Raw genomic sequence first — 20,175 nt, 5'->3', positions numbered from 1 at the left:
CCATCATCCTTTTCCTCTTCCTCTCGCCCAGCAGGTCTGAATGACTGGGATGATGATGAGATCCTAGCTTCGGTGCTGGCAGTGTCCCAACAGGAATACCTAGACAGTATGAAGAAAAACAAAGTGCACAGAGACCCGCCCCCAGACAAGAGTTGATGGAGACCCAGGGATTGGACACCATCTCCCAACCCCAGTACTCCTGCTCTCCGGTGCCACCTCACCTTCTTTGGCTTCTTCCCTCTTGCCTCCTTCTGTTCTTTCTGCTCTCCCCTCTTTTCCCTCCTCCTCACTTCCCTCTGGCTAGCCCACCCCTGCACTCTCTCTCATTGCCGCTGCCACTATCACCTGTCTCTCTGCCAGCTGATGTGCCCTGTTGCCCCCCACCCCATCCCGCACAGAACCATCCCTGCATTCCACAGGGGACTCGGGCAAGGGTGCCGAAGATAGACAAGAGGCACACAGAGACAGACCAACTGGCAGCCAGGCAGCCCCAGAGGAGAGAGACATTCAGACAGAGGAAAGTCTCCCTGCCCCTCATTCCTTCCAAGATGAGAAAAACTTGCCGCCACCCCCCGACACTGATGCCAGGGAGGTGGGAGGAAGAAGTGGGAAATTTCCCTTCCCAGTACCCCCAAGAACGTCTGAGCCTTCAATGTTGAATTTTTTCTTTATTAAAATTACTTTTATCTTATAAAATCAACTAATCAAAAATGATATAGACGACAGCACTGGCTCTGTGAAGGTGGCATCTTTCTGGGCAGGCAGGCCATGGGGCATGGAGGAGGGTGCAAAGATATGGGTTGCTGTCTTCTGGCCTCCAGCTGCATGGAGGCCGGCCCAGGGTCTAGGGTGTGCACTGGGCAAGGGCAGGGCGGCAGGTGTCAGGCCGGCTTGGACAATGAAACCCTGACCTTGCTGCATTCCTTTTGCTTCCACCACCACTAGCTTCTTTGGAATCTTGGGGTGGGGGTCATCTTTGGGGATTATGGCTGCCACCCGGGATTTGAGTGTAGGGAGTGTGGGAGCAGCCTTGGCAGATGGGGCACCCGTGCCCTGCAGGTGTTGACAAGATCCGCCATCTGTAATGTCCTTGGCACAATAAAACCAAATGTCAGTTTCCCTGAGCGACTCTGTTCTGTGTGGGGCAGGGGTTGGGCGGGCCTCTGGGCAGAGGATGCAATGGCACGGACCTTGGCTTGACCTCAGAGGTGTGAATGCTCTCCAGCAGGGTCTGTCTGGGGGCCTGGAGTTTGTATTTGATTTGCTGCTTATTAAACCTCCTTCTGGACCTATTGCCACTGGAAAAGCTGCGTCTTTGCCTGCTGACCCCACCCCTGCCTACCCTATTTCCTGGGGGGGGGGGGGTGATGGTAGCAGAGGACTGTGAGCTTGAACTTCCTGCCTGAATTCCAGCTTCTCCGCCTGCCTCTCACCATGAATGCTGCTCTTTCCTTATCATGATCTGATGAAGAAAAGCCTTGGAAAAGTGCAACTGATACTTTGTAGCAACATGAGTTTAGTGGAAGTAACCAGAGGGGCCTCACCCACTAGGTTTTAGAAGGTGAAGGACGGCTAAACCCTTTTTTGTTCTTGTCCCCCAGTCTGACACCTCTTTGCCTGTCCTCCCTAGGGGTAAATCCAAGGTAAAGAAGGCTGGCTGGCCCCCAGGTTTTCTCAAGCAGCTTTTTCACCATGCCATGATAATGGAGACCCTCTGACAGGATGTGTGTCTGGTTCTGCAGTTGAGGGCATGGCTAGCTGAGTGGCTGTCTGCGGAGTGTGTCTGGAACCCAGTGGCCAAGCATCTATTTGTTGTAGAGTTGCTTTGAAACCTTCCTGGCCCTGGTCAATTGCTTCTCTGTTTCAAGTGTCTCATCTGTACAAGAGGTGATTAGGCTGGGTGCAGTGACTCACACCTATAATCCCAGCACTTTGGAAGGCTGAGGTGGGTGAATCACCTGAGATCAGGAGTTCGAGACCAGCCTGGCCAACATGGAGAAACCCCATCTCTACTAAAAATACAAAAATTAGCCGTTCATGGTTGTACGTGCCTGTAATCCCAGCTACTTGGGTGGCTGAGGCATGAGAATCGCTTGAACCCAGGAGGTGGAGGTTGCAGTGAGCCGAGATTGCGCCACCACACTCCAGCCTGGGTGACAGAGCGAGACTCAGTCTTAAAAAAAAAAAAAAAAAGTGATATCTACTCCCTCATGCTTCTGCTGTGATCATCTAGAGGGAATATGTATGATCAAAGTAACGTACTACCTGGGCACAGTGCTTGGCACATTGAGAGAGCACAAATGTTAGTAGTATTCTTTTTGTAGAAGTTTCTGCACCATTTGGCCCCTGCCAATCTCTCGCCGCTCTGTCCAGTGTTCTTGGCCTTTGCCTGCAATTTGCCCTCCCCTGTCCTGAGCCACCAACCTTCTTTGTCTTTCAAGACAGAGGGTCACCTGCTGAGAAGCCCATTCACATTCTCACTTCTATCTAAAAATCTCCCCAGTAGCTGTACTACAGATAAACTTCATGGCACGGGTTTGATGCCTGACTTATCTGTACATCTCTGATACCAACATCCCCATCAAGGCCTGGCAGGCTTATAGCAAACCACCCCCAATAACGTTGGGTGAACAAAGGAGAGTACATGTGTGCTTTTTTGGTGTTGTCTGTGTGTGTGTGACTGTGGTGAGTCCAAGTCTTCATGTGCAGCTCACAGAGTGTCCCCAGTTGTGTGTGTGATGAAGGGCTTGTTTCCAGGTGTGTCAGATGGTGACTGAGTGTGGGACTCTTATCTCTGACAGTTTGTGTCTAAATCCAAGATGCGTGCATGCCTGCGTGGGTCTGTCTGTGACAGTGCATCTGTGGTTTCTGTCTGATGGGGTGGATGTCCGTTTGTGTTCCTGCAACAGATTCTGGGTAGCTATTTCTGGACAGTTTGTTCCATTGATAAACTGCATGTGTCATGGTGTATGTATGTCTGTGTCTGAACAGGTCTATCCATGTCTGTTTTTGTGACACTGCCACAAAATGTGATTCTATCACATCAGTACATGTCTGCCTTCAGAGCAGTGCATGTGTGTCCCTGGAGCATCTGTGCATCTTCCTGTGACAGACTCTGCGTCTCTCATTTCTGGGACAGTACAAGTCTTGCTGTGACAGTGCATATCTGATGGTGACAGTGTGTTTGTGACAAGTTCTGCCAGTGTGACGGGACATTTCTGTGTCATCACATGGCAAATGTAGGTCTGCGTGAGTGCCTTTCTGTAACAGTGTATCTCTGGGTGTCATTCTAGGACATAACTATTTTTCTGACAGTGTGCTTGCCTGAAAGTGTATGTCAGTCTCTGGCTGCATGTGTATCTAGGTCGTTTCTGTGAATGTGTCTGACAGTATGTGTTTGTGTATATCTTGGCATTCATGTGTCTTTGGAGTGCATTTTTCTTCCTGGGGTGTGGCGCCTTTTCTGGCTGTTTTTCACAAATTTGTGTCTGAGAGTTGCCACTTCTCTAGCAGCCTCTATCATGTCTCTCAGTCCTTGCCTCTCTCAACTCCAAGAGCAGCCCCATGCCACCACCACTCTGGGCTCACCCCCATCCCCCAAGAACCACCCCCTGCTGTTCTAGATTCTAGACTTGCTGACTGGGCCCAGGGCTCAGGGTTAAAAGCTCCAATAAACACTCACCAGGCAATGCTGCCTTTGACCAATGCACACCCGTGGCGTTGATGGTAGGGGTTCCCCCTCCCTGGCTACCAGATATTTCCAGGGCCCTGGCCTCAGCTTTCCAGTGAAGGCCGCCAGTCGCCTGGAGGACTCCGGTGAAGGAGTCCGACAAGCACCTTTCGAGACGGAGTCTTGGATAGCCACAAGCGCGAATTCTTAGAAGCCCGGCCTGGCGCTATCTCTGTGCTAATATCCAGGCAGCGGCGGCAAACCAACTTCCCAGGAAAGGATACTGCGCAGTTATTTTTTAAGTGTAAATACACACACACACCGCCACCACTACCAACAACAACCCCGCGCAACAACCAAAACAAGCGCGGTGCTGCAAAGGGATTCCCAGAACCGGTTTCCTCTTGGTGTGAGCCCCACCTCAAGCCCCCTCATTTACATGCAGGCCCCGCCTCCTCGGAAGAACCGAGCGTGTATTTGCATAAGGGGGCCCTTGAAACGATGAGGGTGGTATGCAAATAAGAACTGGCTCCGATTGGCTGTGGTACAGCAGGTGCCGCGTCCGGATTGATCAAAGCCAGGTGGGCGGGGCTGTCGCCCAGGGTGACTCTCCCGGGAGGCGCGTGCCCAGGCTCAGTAGCATTGGGGCTGGCGCGCGCGGCGAATCTCAACGCTGCGCCGTCTGCGGGCGCTTCCGGGCCACCAGTTTCTCTGCTTTCCACCCTGGCGCCCCCCAGCCCTGGCTCCCCAGCTGCGCTGCCCCGGGCGTCCACGCCCTGCGGGCTTAGCGGGTTCAGTGGGCTCAATCTGCGCAGCGCCACCTCCATGTTGACCAAGCCTCTACAGGGGCCTCCCGCGCCCCCCGGGACCCCCACGCCGCCGCCAGGTGAGTACATCCTCCCCTACTGCAACCAGACGGGGTGGGCTGGAATGATGGGTTGCAGCGCGGGGGGAGGGAGTCGTGGCTGGGCTCAGCACGCCGCCACCCTGACTTCCTCGCCTCCGCCTGCGTAGGAGGCAAGGATCGGGAAGCGTTCGAGGCCGAGTATCGACTCGGCCCCCTCCTGGGTAAGGGGGGCTTTGGCACCGTCTTCGCAGGACACCGCCTCACAGATCGACTCCAGGTATCCGTCATGAGGGTCTTGGGAGGGTCAGGTGCGTGTGGCGGGGGCGGGGGTCCTGGCCCTGGAATGCTGGTTGACCGAGGAGTGAGCCTGCAGAGTGTGTAGAGGACCAGGTGTGTGTGTGTGTGTGTCCGTGTCCGTGTCCGAGGAGTGAGCCTGCAGTGTGTGTAGAGGGCCAGGTGTGTGTGCGTGCGCGTGTGTGTGTCGGTCTAGGAGGTTATGGGCGGGGGGGGGGGGCAGGGGGCTTCAGATTCCGGAGTTCCTTGACCCCGGGGTCCAGGCTGTGTATGTGTGGGAAAGCAGGGACCTAGATGTGAGATTTGTGGGACTTTTGGAGGTAGGTGTCCAGTGTGGAGTCATGCGGACCAGGACCCTGGTACAGAGTTGGGGTGTCGTAGAGCTAAATAGGAAGATTGTGGGCCTGGGGTATCAGGAAATCTAGAACTCAGGACTTGGAGTGATGAGTCCTGATGCCTGAGAACGGAGAGCCCAGGGCTAAGGAAGGTGGGAGAGATAAACTTGGTTCCGAGGACCTGGAGGGCAGGGGAGACGCCCTGGTACGCGTTCTGTGGGGTGCTGTGGTTGGGGACCAGAAAGACTAGAGTGCTGGTAGATGGAGGAATACTGGAGGTAGGCAGAAGGTCTAGACTGGGAGGGGTCTGGGGATCACCTGCTGGCCTCCTTATCACGGCCTTCTTCTCCAGGTGGCCATCAAAGTGATTCCCCGGAATCGTGTGCTGGGCTGGTCCCCCTTGGTGAGTACCTTCGGAGCCCTTCCTAACCTACCTACTCCATCACTGATGTATTCACCTCCTTGCTTTTCCAGGGGATGTATGACTCCCTGGGCCCTGTAACAGTGAGAATACTGCCAGCCCATTTATACTCCCTTGGGGTGACATACAGTTCTGATTCACCCCAATTCCCCTAGAGCCCTGGATTCTCCCCTCCAACAAACCTTTACCATCCTTCCTCCAAACACTGCTGGGGGACTGCCCGCAGGGCGTGCTGGTGGGGAACAAGGGGCAGAGGTCACTGGTTGCCATGGTGATGGTGGCTGCTTCTCTCTTGCCGTTATAACGCTAACGGACATCAGGGCGGGTCTGGGCAAGTTGTAGAGTTGGGAGCGCCCCCTGGCGGGCTCTAGGGGAAACTGCGCCTGCGCAGTCCATGGGACCCAAAGGGAGAGGGTGCGCCTGCGCAATATCGGTATTTTTGCATCTCGGTGAGAAAACGTCTGCTGCCGTGCAAGTCAGCAGCCTGGCCAGGAGAGGGCTCTACCTCATCCCAGAAGGTTGCTGCTCGAAGTGTACCTGCGCAGGGCTTGGGGAGGCAGTGGGGGGCGGATTTTGTGGCCCCCAGCGTTTATACTTTTTTTTTTTTGGAGACACAGTCTCCCTCTGTTGCCCAGGCTGGAGTGAGGTGACGCGATCTCGGCTCACTGCAACCTCCGTCTCCTGGGTTCAAGTGATTCTCCTGCCTCAGCCTCCCAAGTAGCTGGGACTACAGGAGCGCACAACCATGCCCGGCTAATTTTTGTATTTTTAGTAGAGACAGGGTTTCACCATGTTGGCCAGGCGGGTTTTGAACTGCTGACCTCAGGTGATCCGCCTGCCTCGGCCACTCAAAGTGCTGGGATTACAGGCATGAGCCACCACGCCCGGCTGCATTTATGACTTTTTTTTTTCCTTGAGACGGAGTTTCGCTCTGCTGCCTGGGCTGGAGTGCAGTGGCGTGATCTCAGCTCACTGCAGCCTCCACCTCCTGGGTTCAAGCGATTCTCCTGCCTCAGGCTCCTGAGTAGCTGGAATTACAGGCACCCGCTGCCATGCCCGGCTAAGTTTTACGTTTTTAGTAGAGACCGTGTTTCACCATGTTGGCCAGGCTGGTCTCGAACCCCTGACCTAGTGATCTGCCCGCCTTGGGCCTCCCAAAGTGCTGGGATTACAGGCGTGAGCCACCGCGCCCGGCCTCTAATTTTGTATTTTTAGTAGAGACGGGGTTTCTCCATGTTGGTCAGGCTGGTCTCGAACTCCCGACCTCAGGTGATCTGCCCGTCTCGGCCTCCCAAAGTGCTGGGATTACAGGCGTGAGCCACTGCGCAGGGCCACATTTAGGCTTTTTATTGGCTGGTTCTAGGTGCTTGGTGATGCTGACAAAACACATGATAACACTAAGTCCTTTTGTGCTAGGTCCTTTGTAATAAATCACTCAGCTGTTTAACAAATTAGGTATATTGACCACCTACTATATGACAGACATAATTCTAGACACTCAGCAAAGTATTACATAAGTATTGAGAGCTCATTTTGTGCTAGGTCCTTTTTTACTAATTGTTTTCACCTGTTTAACAAATATTTATTCAGCCCTACTCTGTTAGCAGCCACTGTTCTAGTGCTTCATATACGTCCGTGAACAAAACAAACCATTACACAATAAGTGTTTATTGAGTGCTAACTGCTTGTCAGAGCCCATGCTATTAAGTGCTGTCATCTGTTTAACATTTATTGATCACCTGTGTAAGGTACTATTCTAATCTGGGATATGTCAGGGAACAAAACAAAACACATAATGGTGGTGCTGCTTCTGCTGAAAGCCTTCAGTTGATAACCAGATTTTTCTTTGTATTTTTGCTTGTTTGTTTTGAGACAGCTGGAGTGCAGTGGTGTGATCTTCACTGCAACCTCTGCCTTCTTGGCTCAAGCGACCCTCCCACCTGAGCCTCCCAAGTAGCTGGGACTACAGGTGCATGCCACCAAGCCTGGCTAATTTTTGTGTTTGTGCCATTTTGCCCAGGCTGATCTTGAACTCTTGGGCTCAAGCAATCCACCCACATCAGCCTCCCAAAGTGCTGGGATTGCAGGGATGAGCCACTGTGCCTGGCCGAACTTCTTTCGTTTATTCAAATGTTTATTGATCTACGACATGCGAGATTTGTGCAGGCTCTTTGCTGGTTTCACCCTCTCAATCGCTGTGTGAGTTTGTGTCTTTAGGGAAAGTGAGGCCCAGGAAGGGAAGTGAGTTGCTTAGCGACACACTGTCAGGAAAAGGGGCCCTGAGTTGAGCTTAGGTAAAAAGCCTCAGAGCTGTTGCCCTGACATCTGTCTTTTTTCTCTCCCTGCTTCCCACCCCACCTGTGCCCCCAGTCAGACTCAGTCACATGCCCACTCGAAGTCGCACTGCTATGGAAAGTGGGTGCAGGTGGTGGGCACCCTGGCGTGATCCGCCTGCTTGACTGGTTTGAGACACAGGAGGGCTTCATGCTGGTCCTCGAGCGGCCTTTGCCCGCCCAGGATCTCTTTGACTATATCACAGAGAAGGGCCCACTGGGTGAAGGCCCAAGCCGCTGCTTCTTTGGCCAAGTAGTGGCAGCCATCCAGCACTGCCATTCCCGTGGAGTTGTCCATCGTGACATCAAGGATGAGAACATCCTGATAGACCTACGCCGTGGCTGTGCCAAACTCATTGATTTTGGTTCTGGTGCCCTGCTTCATGATGAACCCTACACTGACTTTGATGGTAAGGCTTCTCTAAATCTCCCTGGAGGGATTGTTTTTACTTGATGGCCTTGTGACCTTTGGCCTCCAGTGGTGGGGTGTCCTGTAATCCTTGACCCATACTGCATTATATAAGATGATCGATTGCTAATACTGGGGATTCTCAGCCTTGCCCTCTGATAAAGTCCATCTTTTAATGGTGTGCTAACCTTATTCTGGGCTCCTATTCTGGTGAGGGGATCCTGTTACCATCCTGAGTATTCTTTCTCTGGTAAGGGGATCCTGTTACTTTTCAGTGCTTTTATTCTGTTGAGGGGACTCTGTTATTTTAGCTGCTTTTTATCTAGTGAGGGGACTCTGCTTTTATCTTGAGTGCTCTTAATTGTGGTGAGGCCATCCTTCCTGGAGAGTTTGGGGTTGGAGAAGGGCATCATGAGATTGAGTTGGTCTAACCCCTGGCTTGTGTGCAGGGACAAGGGTGTACAGCCCCCCAGAGTGGATCTCTCGACACCAGTACCATGCACTCCCGGCCACTGTCTGGTCACTGGGCATCCTCCTCTATGACATGGTGTGTGGGGACATTCCCTTTGAGAGGGACCAGGAGATTCTGGAAGCTGAGCTCCACTTCCCAGCCCATGTCTCCCCAGGTGAGGCCTCACTGACCCCAGCCCAGAAGACTCCATCCTTCTCAGGGACCAGTACCCCCTACTGACTGCTAATCTTCCCTCTCTGCTTCTTGGCCTACAGACTGCTGTGCCCTAATCCGCCGGTGCCTGGCCCCCAAACCTTCTTCCCGACCCTCACTGGAAGAGATCCTGCTGGACCCCTGGATGCAAACACCAGCCGAGGATGTACCCCTCAACCCCTCCAAAGGAGGCCCTGCCCCTTTGGCCTGGTCCTTGCTACCCTAAGCCTGGCCTGGCCTGGCCTGGCCCCCAATGGTCAGAAGAGCCATCCCATGGCCATGTCACAGGGATAGATGGACATTTGTTGACTTGGTTTTACAGGTCATTACCAGTCATTAAAGTCCAGTATTACTAAGGTAAGGGATTGAGGATCAGGGGTTAGAAGACATAAACCAAGTCTGCCCAGTTCCCTTCCCAATCCTACAAAGGAGCCTTCCTCCCAGAACCTGTGGTCCCTGATTCTGGAGGGGGAACTTCTTGCTTCTCATTTTGCTAAGGAAGTTTATTTTGGTGAAGTTGTTCCCATTCTGAGCCCCGGGACTCTTATTCTGATGATGTGTCACCCCACATTGGCACCTCCTACTACCACCACACAAACTTAGTTCATATGCTCTTACTTGGGCAAGGGTGCTTTCCTTCCAATACCCCAGTAGCTTTTATTTTAGTAAAGGGACCCTTTCCCCTAGCCTAGGGTCCCATATTGGGTCAAGCTGCTTACCTGCCTCAGCCCAGGATTCTTTATTCTGGGGGAGGTAATGCCCTGTTGTTACCCCAAGGCTTCTTTTTTTTTTTTTTTTTTTTGGGTGAGGGGACCCTACTCTGTTATCCCAAGTGCTCTTATTCTGGTGAGAAGAACCTTACTTCCATAATTTGGGAAGGAATGGAAGATGGACACCACCGGACACCACCAGACACTAGGATGGGATGGATGGTTTTTTGGGGGATGGGCTAGGGGAAATAAGGCTTGCTGTTTGTTCTCCTGGGGCGCTCCCTCCAACTTTTGCAGATTCTTGCAACCTCCTCCTGAGCCGGGATTGTCCAATTACTAAAATGTAAATAATCACGTATTGTGGGGAGGGGAGTTCCAAGTGTGCCCTCCTCTCTTCTCCTGCCTGGATTATTTAAAAAGCCATGTGTGGAAACCCACTATTTAATAAAAGTAATAGAATCAGAAGCGGCTGGCCATTTGTAGGTGTGAGGCTTTTATGGAGCATCTACTGTGCACTGAGACAGACTGTCCCTCTGCTTTGTCCTCAGGAAGCCACAGTCTTATGTTGCCATCCTAAAGAGCTTTAAGGATTCTTGAAGCTGCACCACACACACACAAAAAAATCTTGATTCCCCTGCCCCTGATCTTATGCAGTGCCCAGTATGTGCAGAAGGGTTCTCTGTTGGAGATACTGTGCATATTGAAGGTGTTTAGGGCACATCCCCAATCAAGATGGCTATCTCAGAAGCAGAAAAACTACCTTCCCTGGCACCCCAGGGGAATGAAGAAGCCCTTTCCCCTGTTGCAGAAGAAAAGCCCTGTCAGGGTACTGGCCAGGGCGGGGCTGGGGTTGGGCGCTGACTGGAATCTGTCCAGGGTGTAGTCACCTGTTTTGCTCTTTATCTTTAGCCTCTTCCCCCATCTTTACCCTTACATACCCATCCCTCTAATTTCTCCTTCAACACTTGACTTACCTGGCCTACCCTATTCCATGTTGGTTTCACTTGTTCCGACCTGAGTTGTTCCCTCTCTTGCCCTGCTTATTTGTCTCGGTTCAGTATAAACTCCGCCTTCCGGGTTCCAGCGGTTCTCCTGCCTCAGCCTCCAGAGTAGCTGGGTACAGGTGCATACCACTAAGCCCGGGTAATTTTTTTTTTTTATTTGAGACGGGGTTTTGTCGTTTTGCCCAGGCTGGAACTCCTGAGCTCAGGTGATCGCCCGGCTCAGCCTCCCAAAGTGCTGGGATTACAGGCGTGAGCCACCGCCTCTGGCCCGGACTCTTGCCCTGCTTCCAAATGCTAGCTAACCTGTGAGCCTTTCGCCTGTCCCCTTTGCCATCCTCAGTGGTGACTCACTTGTCTTCCCTTATGTGCGTCAACTTTCCTTTGCATTTTCACTTGTTTATCCTCACCTGCTCTGCTTTTATCTGCTAGCTTAACATTCCTGACTCGCACCTGATGCCAGTACGCCCTCACCCCGACCCCGCCAGGTCAAAGTTTCTTCGTCCCCAGATTCCCGTGTGCTCTCCAGGGGGCGAGGCCTCTCTGGAAGACGGGAAAGCGGAATTTCAGTCCAACCATGAAGCACCTGGTAGTTTCTGATACGGAAAGGGCGGCGCCTTATGGAGAAGCTGCCAATAAAGAGCCGAGATGAAAGGGGTGGCTGAACCAATGAGTCTAGGAGACAAGATCGGGGGATGATCTGGAAAGCGCGATCAGTGAAGCGGACGAACGGCAGGATAAGGCGGGTCTAGTGACAGGAATGGGCCGATGAAGCTCTGTAGGGATGGTGGGTAGGCCGATCGGGCCGTGTCCCCGGCCTCCCGATCCGACGGAATTTGGAAATCCCGGGGCTATTCATACATTGAGCTTTTAGGAGCGGAGGAGAAAAGCCACCACCCTGACGATCCCGGCTCTCGCTCCACCTTCACTCAGGTGGCCCGGCAGCGGAAGTGACGAACGCGGAAGTGGTTTTTCTGTTGCCGAGGGGACGGGCCGGGCAGATGCCAACATGGCAGCGGTTGGGGCTGGTGGTTCCACCGCGGCGCCCGGGCCAGGGGCGGTTTCCGCGGGTGCATTGGAGCCGGGGACCGCCAGTGCGGGTGAGACAGTCTGCCCGAGCAGTCGCATGGGAGGCGGAGGTCGGGATCGCTGGGAGTCGGGAATGTTCCTCACTAAAGTGAGAGGGAGCATCCCGTGTGGACCGACGTGTGTGTGTGTGTGTGTGTGCACATTGTCAGTGTGTTGGGGGCGGGGAAGAGAACATTCTGAGAGTGATTGTGGGATCCTTCCGCATATGGAGAGTAGAGACCATTGTGAGTGTGGTGGGTAATTCTTTTTGGGAAGGCTAAGGCCACCGAAACCATTCTGAATATGTGGAGTCCTTCCGTGTGGAAGAGACCATTCTGCGGGTGTGGGAGTTCCTCACTGAAGAAGGGGGAGACTATTCTGAGGGTGGTGGTTCCTTCCTTATAAAGGGACAGAGACTATTGTGAGTTAGGGTGGGGCGAGTCCTTCTTTATGTGACTAGAGAGGGTCCATTTTGAGGATGGGGGTGTCTTTCATTATGTGCGGAGGAGACCGTTCTGGGGGCTCCCTCCTAATGGAGGTAGAGTTCATTGTACATTCGGGTGGGAGGGCTCATCGTTATATGGTGGAGAAAGAACGTTCTGAGAGTGCCGGGTCCTTCCTTATAGCAGAGAGAGCTCATTGTGAGTGTGGGTAGAGCAAGGAAAAATTCATTAGCTAGAGGGTCCGTGTGCGGTGGTGGGAGGGCAGACCATGTGGAGTGCAGGGAAGTATTTCCTCATCTGGTTGAGGGAGCCAGACCTTTCTTGGTGGGATAACCATTCCTGATACAGGATTCAGTCCCTGGGAGCATGTGGGAATCATTTCTTGTATTTAGTAGACTATTCTGGTTCGAGAGGAACCAGTTGTCACAGGAGTGAGGGGTTGGAGAGACCATTCTGGGTATGAGGAGGATCATTCCATATGGGATGTAGGCCATTCTCAGTGTGAGGGAATCGAATCATTTCTTAGATAGGAGAAAGACCGTTCTTAGGGGGTGAACATACCTCATACAGTGGCCTCATTCCCTGCATTGATGTGTTATTCTTTACATGAGACAGTCCCTCATTAAACAGGAGCATCATTTCATATAAATTCTCAGTTTGCTAATCCATAAATGGGAATCCTCGCAGTTCTTTTGGAGATGACAGTGATATGAGTCTATTGAGGTAATCCATAGAAATCCCTTAACCCAGTGATAGGCATACAGTAAACACTCAATAAACGTGGAGAATGTAGTTGTCGGTATTCTTTCTGGGGAAGAGTTGCTTCTCACTTGGGAGGAAGCCGAGGCGCGTGGCCAGGGTTTGCCTCAGCCATTACCTGACACCTCAGTAAGGATTCCAGGTATGGACTGGGACAGGGTGGGGCCCATTTCTCCCTTCTGGCTCTTCCTGCTCATGGCTGAGGCAGTAAGCCGGTAGGAGTCAGACCCTTATTGGGTGAGGGCAGGCAGGCTGAGGGAGCAAGTAGCCATGGCTAGGAGGGTCCTGGGTGAGAAAGAAAGGGGGTGGGTGGTGGTGTGGCTATGCCCCAGCGGCTTCTGACCCCGTCCTTCCCCCTTGCCCCTTCCGTTCCCCACAGCTCACAGGCGCCTGAAGTACATATCCCTAGCTGTGCTGGTGGTCCAGAATGCCTCCCTCATCCTCAGCATCCGCTACGCCCGCACGTTGCCAGGGGACCGCTTCTTTGCCACCACTGCTGTGGTCATGGCGGAAGTGCTCAAAGGTCTCACCTGCCTGCTGCTGCTCTTCGCACAGAAGAGGGGTACGAACCAGGGATGGGGCTGCACTGGGGTCGGTGGGTGAGACTCCACATGTATGTGTGTGTGTTCACACAGATGGTTTGCTTCAGGAGTGTCTCCAAATCTCAACCTGCCTGGAGCGCCACTCCAGCTATGCGTAGCGGCATCTTACACTTTTCTAGCCCTAACAGCCGGGTAGCCGGCCTGTGTGGGCTGTAGGAGTGAGATTGCCAATGCTTATAAAGTAGCAGGGATCTCTCACATGTGATTTAGCTTCATATTATGGAGAATTCCGAATACATGCAAAATCAGAGAGAATAATCAAATAGTAAAATATCCATGTACCCATCCCCCAGAGTCAGCAATTAGCAACTCATGGCCGCTTTAAACAACATCAGTGATTGTTCACTCACTGCCAATCTATATGTCTACCTACGTCCTTATCCTCTTATTATTTTTAAGTAAATCCCACACGAAGTAATATTGTATGGAAGTAAATTCCCCTGAATTATCTTGAATAAATGTAGCTGGGATTACAGGCACGTGCCACCACGCCCAGCTAATTTTTTTGTATTTTTAGTAGAGAAGGGGTTTCACCATGTTAGCCAGGATGGTCTCGAACTCCTGACCTCGTGATCCGCCCACCTCAGCCTCCCAAAGTGCTGGGATTACAGGCGTGAGCCACCAGGCTGGCCTTGTTTGGTATCTTCTAAATCTGTTAATCTCTAGGGGTTTTTTGGTCTTTGCAATTAATTTGTTGGAGAAAACAGGTCATTTGTTTTGTAGACTTTGGGTAGTCTGGATTTTGCTGACTGCCTCCCTAAGGCAAATATTCTCAAAAATTTAACAAGTATTCTGTCTTCTACATCTCTTGTAAATTGGAAGTTGGGTTTATCTGCTAATTTCAACATCTCCCTGAAGGCCTTCTACTTTGAAGTGTTGCCCAATTGTTTCTCTAAAAAGGTCTTGCATAAGTAAAGGGATGGAGATGAATTATGCACCTTTGCCCTTTGTTTACATTGAAGAGAATATTCTCACCCACCTGTTAACTCCAGGTTAACAAGAGACCTGCTCTTACCTTTGTTAACTCTGTGAACAGTGTAGGTGTGAACACTGCCTCAGGCCGTGGGGGTAGATGGGTTAGCAATGCAGAGGAGCAGCTTGTCCTCATTGCTGATGGAAGATGGAAATAACAGATAGCCACAGACTTAATCACAGGCCTTCATCTCTTAGCCACAATTTCAGCACCCCTCTCTCCCCTGCCCGGAATTTTTTTCCCCTGAATTCGAGTTTGGAGACCAGGAGTGCACAGGGTTTGGTGAATGAACATCAGTAGGAGTTCCTGGGACAACCTTGTTCAGTGTTTGAAGAAGTTTTGCCTGTGGAGTGACACCCAGCTGTGACTTAAAAGATGAACTGCTGGCTGGGCGTGGTTGCTCACGTCTGTAATCCCAGCACTTTGGGAGGCCGAGAGGCAGGTGGATCACAAGGTCAGGAGTTAGAGACCAGCCTGGCCAAGATGGTGAAACCCCGTCTCTACTAAAAATACAAAAATTATCCAGGCGCGGTGGCAGGTGCCTGTAATCCCAGCTACTAGGGAGGCTGAGGCAGGAGAATTGCTTGAACCCGGGAGGCAGAGGTTGCAGTGAGCCAAGATCACACCACTGCACTCCAGCCTGGGCGACAGAGCAAGACTCCTCACCCACCCACCCCGCCCCGCCAAAAAAAAAGATGAACTGCCAAAAAGTGGGGCGAGCTTTGCAAAGGCCTTGTTACATAGGAAATGATTCTCATGTTTTTTGTTTGTTTGTTTTGAAATGGAGTTTTGCCCTTGTTGTCTGAGCTGGAGTGCAATGGCACGATCTTGGCTCACTGCAACCTCCGCCTCCCGGGTTCAAAAGATTCTCCTGCCTCAGCCTCCTGAGTAGCTGGGATTATAGGCGCCTGCCACCACACCCGGCTAATTTTTGTATTTTTAGTAGAGACGGGGTTTCACCACGTTGGCCAGCCTGGTCTCGAACTCCTGACCTCAGGTGATCCACCCACCTTAACCTCCCAAAGTGTTGGGATTACAGGCGTGAGCCACTGCGCCCAGCCCGATTATCATGTTTTCACTGGAGCAGGTCCCAAGCGGACTTCTGCTTAATGGTCAAGCCTGCATTCATCCATGTGGCAGAGGCAACTCTGTGTCTAGGGCTGACAGAAAGATGCAACAAGGGGGAGATGGCCCCTGCCCTCAGACGGCACATGGGTCAGTGAGGAGCTAGGATAAGTCTAAAAGTCTAGACTATGCCTGGTGTGGTGGCTTACACCTGTAATCCCAGAACTTTGGGAGGCCGAGGTAGGCGGATCACGAGGTCAGGAGATCAAGACCATCGTGGCTAACACGGTGAAGCCCCATCTCTACTAAAGATACAAAAAATTAGCTGGGAGTGGTGGCACGCGCCTGTAGTCCAAGCTACTTGGGAGGCTGAGGCAGGAGAATGGCTTGAACCTGGGAGGTGGAGCTTGCAGTGAGCCGAGATCGCGCCACTGTGCCAAAAAAAAAAAAAGTCTAGACTAAACTCTTCTGTGTGGGAGACAGCCCTCCACCCCAGCTCCTAGGGCTTCTATTTCATAAGCTCCAAGTTAATGATGGTTATTTCTTTCTTTCTTTTTTTTTTTTTTTGAGATGGAGTCTCACTCTGTTGCCCAGGCTGGAGTGCAATGGCATGGTCTCAGCTCACTGCAACCTCCACCTCCCAGGTTCAAGCAATTCTCCTGCCTCAGCCTCCCAAGTAGCTGGGATTACAGTCGCTTGCCACCACACCTGGCTAATTTTTGTATTTTTAGTAGAGATAGGGTTTCAGTGTTGTTGGCCCAGCTGGTCTTGAACTCCTAACCTCATGAGCCACCTGCCTTGGCCTCCCAAAGTGCTGGGATTACAGGCGTGAGCCACGGCACCTGGCCTAATGCTGGTTATTTCATTGTACACAAATATATTGAGTATTGAGTGCTTTCCCTGAATGGGGCTCTCTGCCAGGGAGGTAGGCTCTAACATGAGTGACATGCTCTGTGATTAGCAGACACGGATGGCTGATTCTTTTGCTGCCATTAAACTGAGTCTCAGAAAAGCTTGCTGGAAACATGGTTGTACTCTAGGGAAAACCAAGATCACATACTTCATTCCAGCCTCCAGGGATTGGACAGCAGGGTGGATGGGGGAGTCACAGGAGCAAGGCCTGTTCCCAGCCTTCAGGGGTTCCCCATGTATGGCTGTCAGTGCTAAGAAGGGCTCTCCTCCTCCCACCTAGGTAACGTGAAGCACCTGGTTCTCTTCCTCCATGAGGCTGTCCTGGTGCAGTATGTGGACACGCTCAAGCTCGCAGTGCCCTCTCTCATCTACACCTTGCAGAATAACCTCCAGTATGTTGCCATCTCTAACCTACCAGCTGCCACTTTCCAGGTGAGCCCCAAGCCCAGCATGGCCCCAGAGGAACTAACTGGGTTGGGGACTGGAGTATGGGAATAGCGTGGTGGGGGGGTGTTGCAGAGGACAGGGGCTATGTCACCTTCAGAATGTCCTTGGAACTCCTTCAACCTCCCTTTTCTCGTCTGTGAAAATTGGGGGTGGAAATAGTAATGCCTGTTCACTGAGATGCTAGGATACTTAAAAGAAATAATACCTGTGAAGAGCCCTTGATTGGTGACAGATAAGCTTTAGGCTATTTGTGGGCAGCTTTGTGAAATGGTTAAAGAGCCTGGATTCTGGGGCCAGGCTGTCTGGGTTCAAATCTCAGCTCTGCTACCTTCCAGCTGTGTGATTTTGGGGCACGTCACCTAACCTCTCTGTGCCTTAGTTTTCTCACCTTTAAATTGGGGCTTACAGTGGTGCTCACTTCAGAATGGTGTTGTGAGAATTAAATGAATGAATTCACGTGCAGTGCCTAGAACCACACTGATATATTGTAAGCACTATGTAAGTATTTGCTGACATTGTTGTGGCTATTGATTCATTTGTATCAAGTCCCTCATCACAAAGATACTTCCATACCTCAGCCATCTTTTATAGATGATGATGCCAGGGCTCAGACAGGGCAAGTGCTTTGTCCCCAGTCACACAGCCAGGAAATGGGATTGGGATGTGGACTTCTTGGCACAGCCATCCTTTTGTGCACTTGCTGGGAGAGACTTCAGAACTGTTTTGCTGCAGCTCAGCCAATGGCCAGTGGCTGGCTCCTTTTGCTGTTTTTGCTGTCATACCCCCCACCCTGTCCCTCCATTGTGCCTGGGGGCCCACAGTGGGTGCTGCCCCCCATGTGCACCTGTTGGGGGCCAGGGTCAGCCCTCAGTGCCTTCCACGTGCCACTCGCAGGTGACATACCAGCTGAAGATCCTGACCACAGCGCTGTTCTCCGTGCTCATGCTGAATCGCAGCCTTTCCCGGCTGCAGTGGGCCTCCCTGCTGCTCCTCTTCACTGGCGTCGCCATTGTCCAGGCACAGCAAGCCGGTGGGGGAGGCCCACGGCCACTGGATCAGAACCCTGGGGCAGGCCTGGCAGCCGTCGTGGCCTCCTGTCTCTCCTCCGGCTTCGCAGGTGTCTACTTTGAGAAGATCCTCAAAGGCAGCTCAGGCTCCGTGTGGCTGCGCAACCTGCAACTGGGCCTCTTCGGCACAGCACTGGGCCTGGTGGGGCTCTGGTGGGCTGAGGGTACCGCCGTGGCCACCCGTGGTTTCTTTTTTGGGTACACACCTGCTGTCTGGGGCGTGGTGCTCAACCAGGCCTTCGGCGGGCTACTGGTGGCTGTGGTTGTCAAGTACGCTGACAATATCCTCAAGGGCTTTGCCACCTCCCTGTCCATTGTGCTGTCCACTGTTGCCTCCATTCGCCTCTTTGGCTTCCACGTGGACCCATTATTTGCCCTTGGCGCTGGACTCGTCATTGGTGCTGTCTACCTCTACAGCCTTCCCCGAGGTGCAGCCAAAGCCATAGCCTCTGCCTCTGCCTCCGCCTCCGGGCCCTGCGTTCACCAGCAGCCTCCCGGGCAGCCACCACCACCGCAGCTGTCTTCCCACCGTGGAGACCTCATCACGGAGCCCTTTCTGCCAAAGTCAGTGCTGGTGAAGTGAGGGCTGGCAGCAATGGGGGGACACAAGGGAGGGGGACTGGGGTGGAGGGTGTTGGGCATCTGCAGGACCCAAGTCGCCACCCTCCGGGGCCTGGCTCCTCTGGGTTTGGGAGATGGTCTTTTCTCCCAGGTCACTGAGACTTCTGGAGGGGTGTGGGACTAGAGCTGGGTGTCACGTGAACCCTTCCTGGTAGGGTGACCCCCTTCCCCTGGAGGGGGTTTTAGAGCTGCCGCCTCTGCTCCCTCTAACCTCTTTGGAGGCAGGGTTGGGGGTATTGTCATTCAAGGCCTTTTTTTTGTCTGCTCCCTCCCCGACCCTGTGCCCTCTTCTGGAGGTTTCTCGTCTGGGAGAGTCCCTCCCAGCAGTCCCTCCACCTCCATAAGGACACACTGGACAAAACTCCCGCAGCTCTTCAGGAATGACCGATGCCTACCTGTGGGGTTCAGTTGCCCATAGTTTGAGGCCTTCTCTCCTCCCTTACCACCGCTCTGGATCATGTTACTAGTTCCGTCTTTTGTGTGGCCTTGGGCCAGCTTCCTTGATACCTTGAAGATGGGCTTCTTGTGAGTCCCCAGGGAGAAAGGGACAAGAGCTAAGATTTTTGCATCAGCCCTTCTGGCAGAAGGTGTGGTAGGGGCCATTTGTTTTTTTTAGTGGACTTGGGATTTGTGGTGTAATCATATCATTAATGATCCAGGGTGTGGGAAAAATGGAGGTCCTTGAAGTGGCTGAATCTCATTGTATTTAAGACACTGTCAGTTGCCAGATGTAGGCTTATTTTTGGAGATGTCTAGGAGAGGAAAAAGCTACCAATCATACTCTTGATATCCGTCTGGCTGTGTGAGGCACCCCTACCTCATGGGGGTGTCTTGGGATTGATGAACTGTGGAACCTGCCTCCTGCGCTCCCCAAAGCTTATTAACCCCTTAACTGTATCGGGGCGGGGTGTGTGTGTGCATGGAAGATGCCTGGGCTGTCTTTGCTATATGTAAATAGAGCCATTGGATCTTTATTTTTGATTAATTTGTTCTGATTTTTTGGTTTGTTTTTTAAGGAACTGTAATGAACAAATGTCAGGATATCCAATGCCAAATAAAGATGTTGTATTTATTTAGTCCACGTGTAGCTTTCTGACCAGGTGGGCACCATTACTAACCCCAGGACTACCAGCCTCACCACCGCCGCCCTCACTTGCTCAGGAAACCCGCCTGCCAGCCTAGCCCAGCTTTGTGTTTTTCTTTCCTCCCCATTCCCACCACAGGTTGCTCACCAAGGTGAAGGGTTCCTAGCCGCTGGGATTGAAGACATTGGCCTGGCCTCGTTCTCTCTTCTTGCCCTTGGCCCAGCTGGGACCAAACTCTGATCAGTATTAGGGGTAGAGTGAGGTAGACACTGGACTCCCTGTCCCCACCACCCCTGCCCCACCCAGGGCCAACATGACTAAGCTCTCTCATGACCCACCTCAGCTCAGCCCCCCAGCCCCTGCCAGCTCCACACTATCTCTTAGCTGAGTTTTTGCAAATAAAATGTGTTGTGTATCTTGCCGACTTGGGTTGGGCAGCCTCAAAGGAA

The 20,175-nt window shown here is 52.4% G+C and overlaps 3 protein-coding genes across 25 annotated transcripts in view, besides 8 other annotated features; all 3 read left to right on the top strand.

Moving 5' to 3' along the window:
* The window catches only part of OTUD5 (OTU deubiquitinase 5), a 36,358-nt gene extending 35,052 nt beyond the window's left edge, over positions 1 to 1,306 (top strand). For 6 of the 15 annotated variants that reach the window (XM_024452396.2, XM_005278042.4, XM_005272622.5 and 3 more), the window contains one exon: positions 32 to 1,124. In XM_024452396.2, the coding sequence (XP_024308164.1) occupies positions 32 to 156 (125 nt within the window). In that variant the 3' untranslated portion in view covers positions 157 to 1,124. Of the gene's footprint in view, positions 1 to 31 lie in introns of all 15 variants that reach the window. The other 9 variants (NM_001136159.2, XM_017029630.2, NM_001136157.2 and 6 more) reach the window with 3 other exon arrangements.
* Positions 1,372 to 2,256: an enhancer, noted in NCBI's record as "H3K27ac-H3K4me1 hESC enhancer chrX:48778351-48779235 (GRCh37/hg19 assembly coordinates)". NCBI's record gives its function as "activates a minimal SCP1, AML or CMV promoter by ChIP-STARR-seq in naive H9 embryonic stem cells {active_cell/tissue: H9 hESC(naive)}" and the evidence as "EXISTENCE:reporter gene assay evidence [ECO:0000049][PMID:30033119]".
* Positions 2,950 to 3,009: an enhancer, noted in NCBI's record as "active region_29621". NCBI's record gives its function as "activates an Ori minimal core promoter by ATAC-STARR-seq in GM12878 lymphoblastoid cells {active_cell/tissue: GM12878}" and the evidence as "EXISTENCE:reporter gene assay evidence [ECO:0000049][PMID:35858748]".
* Positions 4,060 to 4,299: a silencer, noted in NCBI's record as "silent region_20827". NCBI's record gives its function as "represses an Ori minimal core promoter by ATAC-STARR-seq in GM12878 lymphoblastoid cells {active_cell/tissue: GM12878}" and the evidence as "EXISTENCE:reporter gene assay evidence [ECO:0000049][PMID:35858748]".
* PIM2 (Pim-2 proto-oncogene, serine/threonine kinase) lies at positions 4,306 to 10,148 on the top strand. Of its 2 annotated transcripts, NM_006875.4 has the most exons (6): positions 4,306 to 4,556; positions 4,685 to 4,794; positions 5,499 to 5,549; positions 7,938 to 8,310; positions 8,759 to 8,935; positions 9,036 to 10,148. In NM_006875.4, the coding sequence occupies exons 1-6, from the start codon at positions 4,496 to 4,498 to the stop codon at positions 9,197 to 9,199; spliced, it is 936 nt and encodes a 311-aa protein (NP_006866.2). In that variant the 5' UTR covers positions 4,306 to 4,495; the 3' UTR covers positions 9,200 to 10,148. The 2 variants fall into 2 exon arrangements, with proteins under 2 accessions (NP_006866.2, XP_047297748.1); XM_047441792.1 differs by lacking the exon at positions 8,759 to 8,935.
* Positions 4,390 to 4,529: a silencer, noted in NCBI's record as "silent region_20826". NCBI's record gives its function as "represses an Ori minimal core promoter by ATAC-STARR-seq in GM12878 lymphoblastoid cells {active_cell/tissue: GM12878}" and the evidence as "EXISTENCE:reporter gene assay evidence [ECO:0000049][PMID:35858748]".
* Positions 9,001 to 9,050: an enhancer, noted in NCBI's record as "active region_29620". NCBI's record gives its function as "activates an Ori minimal core promoter by ATAC-STARR-seq in GM12878 lymphoblastoid cells {active_cell/tissue: GM12878}" and the evidence as "EXISTENCE:reporter gene assay evidence [ECO:0000049][PMID:35858748]".
* Positions 10,741 to 10,790: an enhancer, noted in NCBI's record as "active region_29619". NCBI's record gives its function as "activates an Ori minimal core promoter by ATAC-STARR-seq in GM12878 lymphoblastoid cells {active_cell/tissue: GM12878}" and the evidence as "EXISTENCE:reporter gene assay evidence [ECO:0000049][PMID:35858748]".
* On the top strand, positions 11,372 to 20,147 carry SLC35A2 (solute carrier family 35 member A2). Of its 8 annotated transcripts, none has more exons than NM_001282647.2 (5): positions 11,684 to 11,784; positions 13,334 to 13,516; positions 16,787 to 16,938; positions 18,438 to 18,584; positions 19,865 to 20,147. In NM_001282647.2, exons 1-5 carry the CDS (start codon positions 11,694 to 11,696, stop codon positions 19,964 to 19,966), a joined length of 675 nt encoding a protein of 224 aa, NP_001269576.1. In that variant the 5' UTR covers positions 11,684 to 11,693; the 3' UTR covers positions 19,967 to 20,147. The 8 variants fall into 8 exon arrangements, with proteins under 8 accessions (NP_001269577.1, NP_001269576.1, NP_005651.1 ...); NM_005660.3 differs by having other exon boundaries at positions 17,848 to 18,584; NM_001282651.2 differs by adding an exon at positions 13,013 to 13,096 and having other exon boundaries at positions 17,848 to 20,147.
* Positions 12,031 to 12,080: an enhancer, noted in NCBI's record as "active region_29618". NCBI's record gives its function as "activates an Ori minimal core promoter by ATAC-STARR-seq in GM12878 lymphoblastoid cells {active_cell/tissue: GM12878}" and the evidence as "EXISTENCE:reporter gene assay evidence [ECO:0000049][PMID:35858748]".
* Positions 12,441 to 12,490: a silencer, noted in NCBI's record as "silent region_20825". NCBI's record gives its function as "represses an Ori minimal core promoter by ATAC-STARR-seq in GM12878 lymphoblastoid cells {active_cell/tissue: GM12878}" and the evidence as "EXISTENCE:reporter gene assay evidence [ECO:0000049][PMID:35858748]".

The sequence above is a fragment of the Homo sapiens genome, chromosome X, assembly GCF_000001405.40.
Source record: "Homo sapiens chromosome X, GRCh38.p14 Primary Assembly".
Lineage (NCBI taxonomy): Eukaryota > Metazoa > Chordata > Mammalia > Primates > Hominidae > Homo > Homo sapiens.
This window is presented reverse-complemented; position numbering and strand designations above follow the sequence as displayed.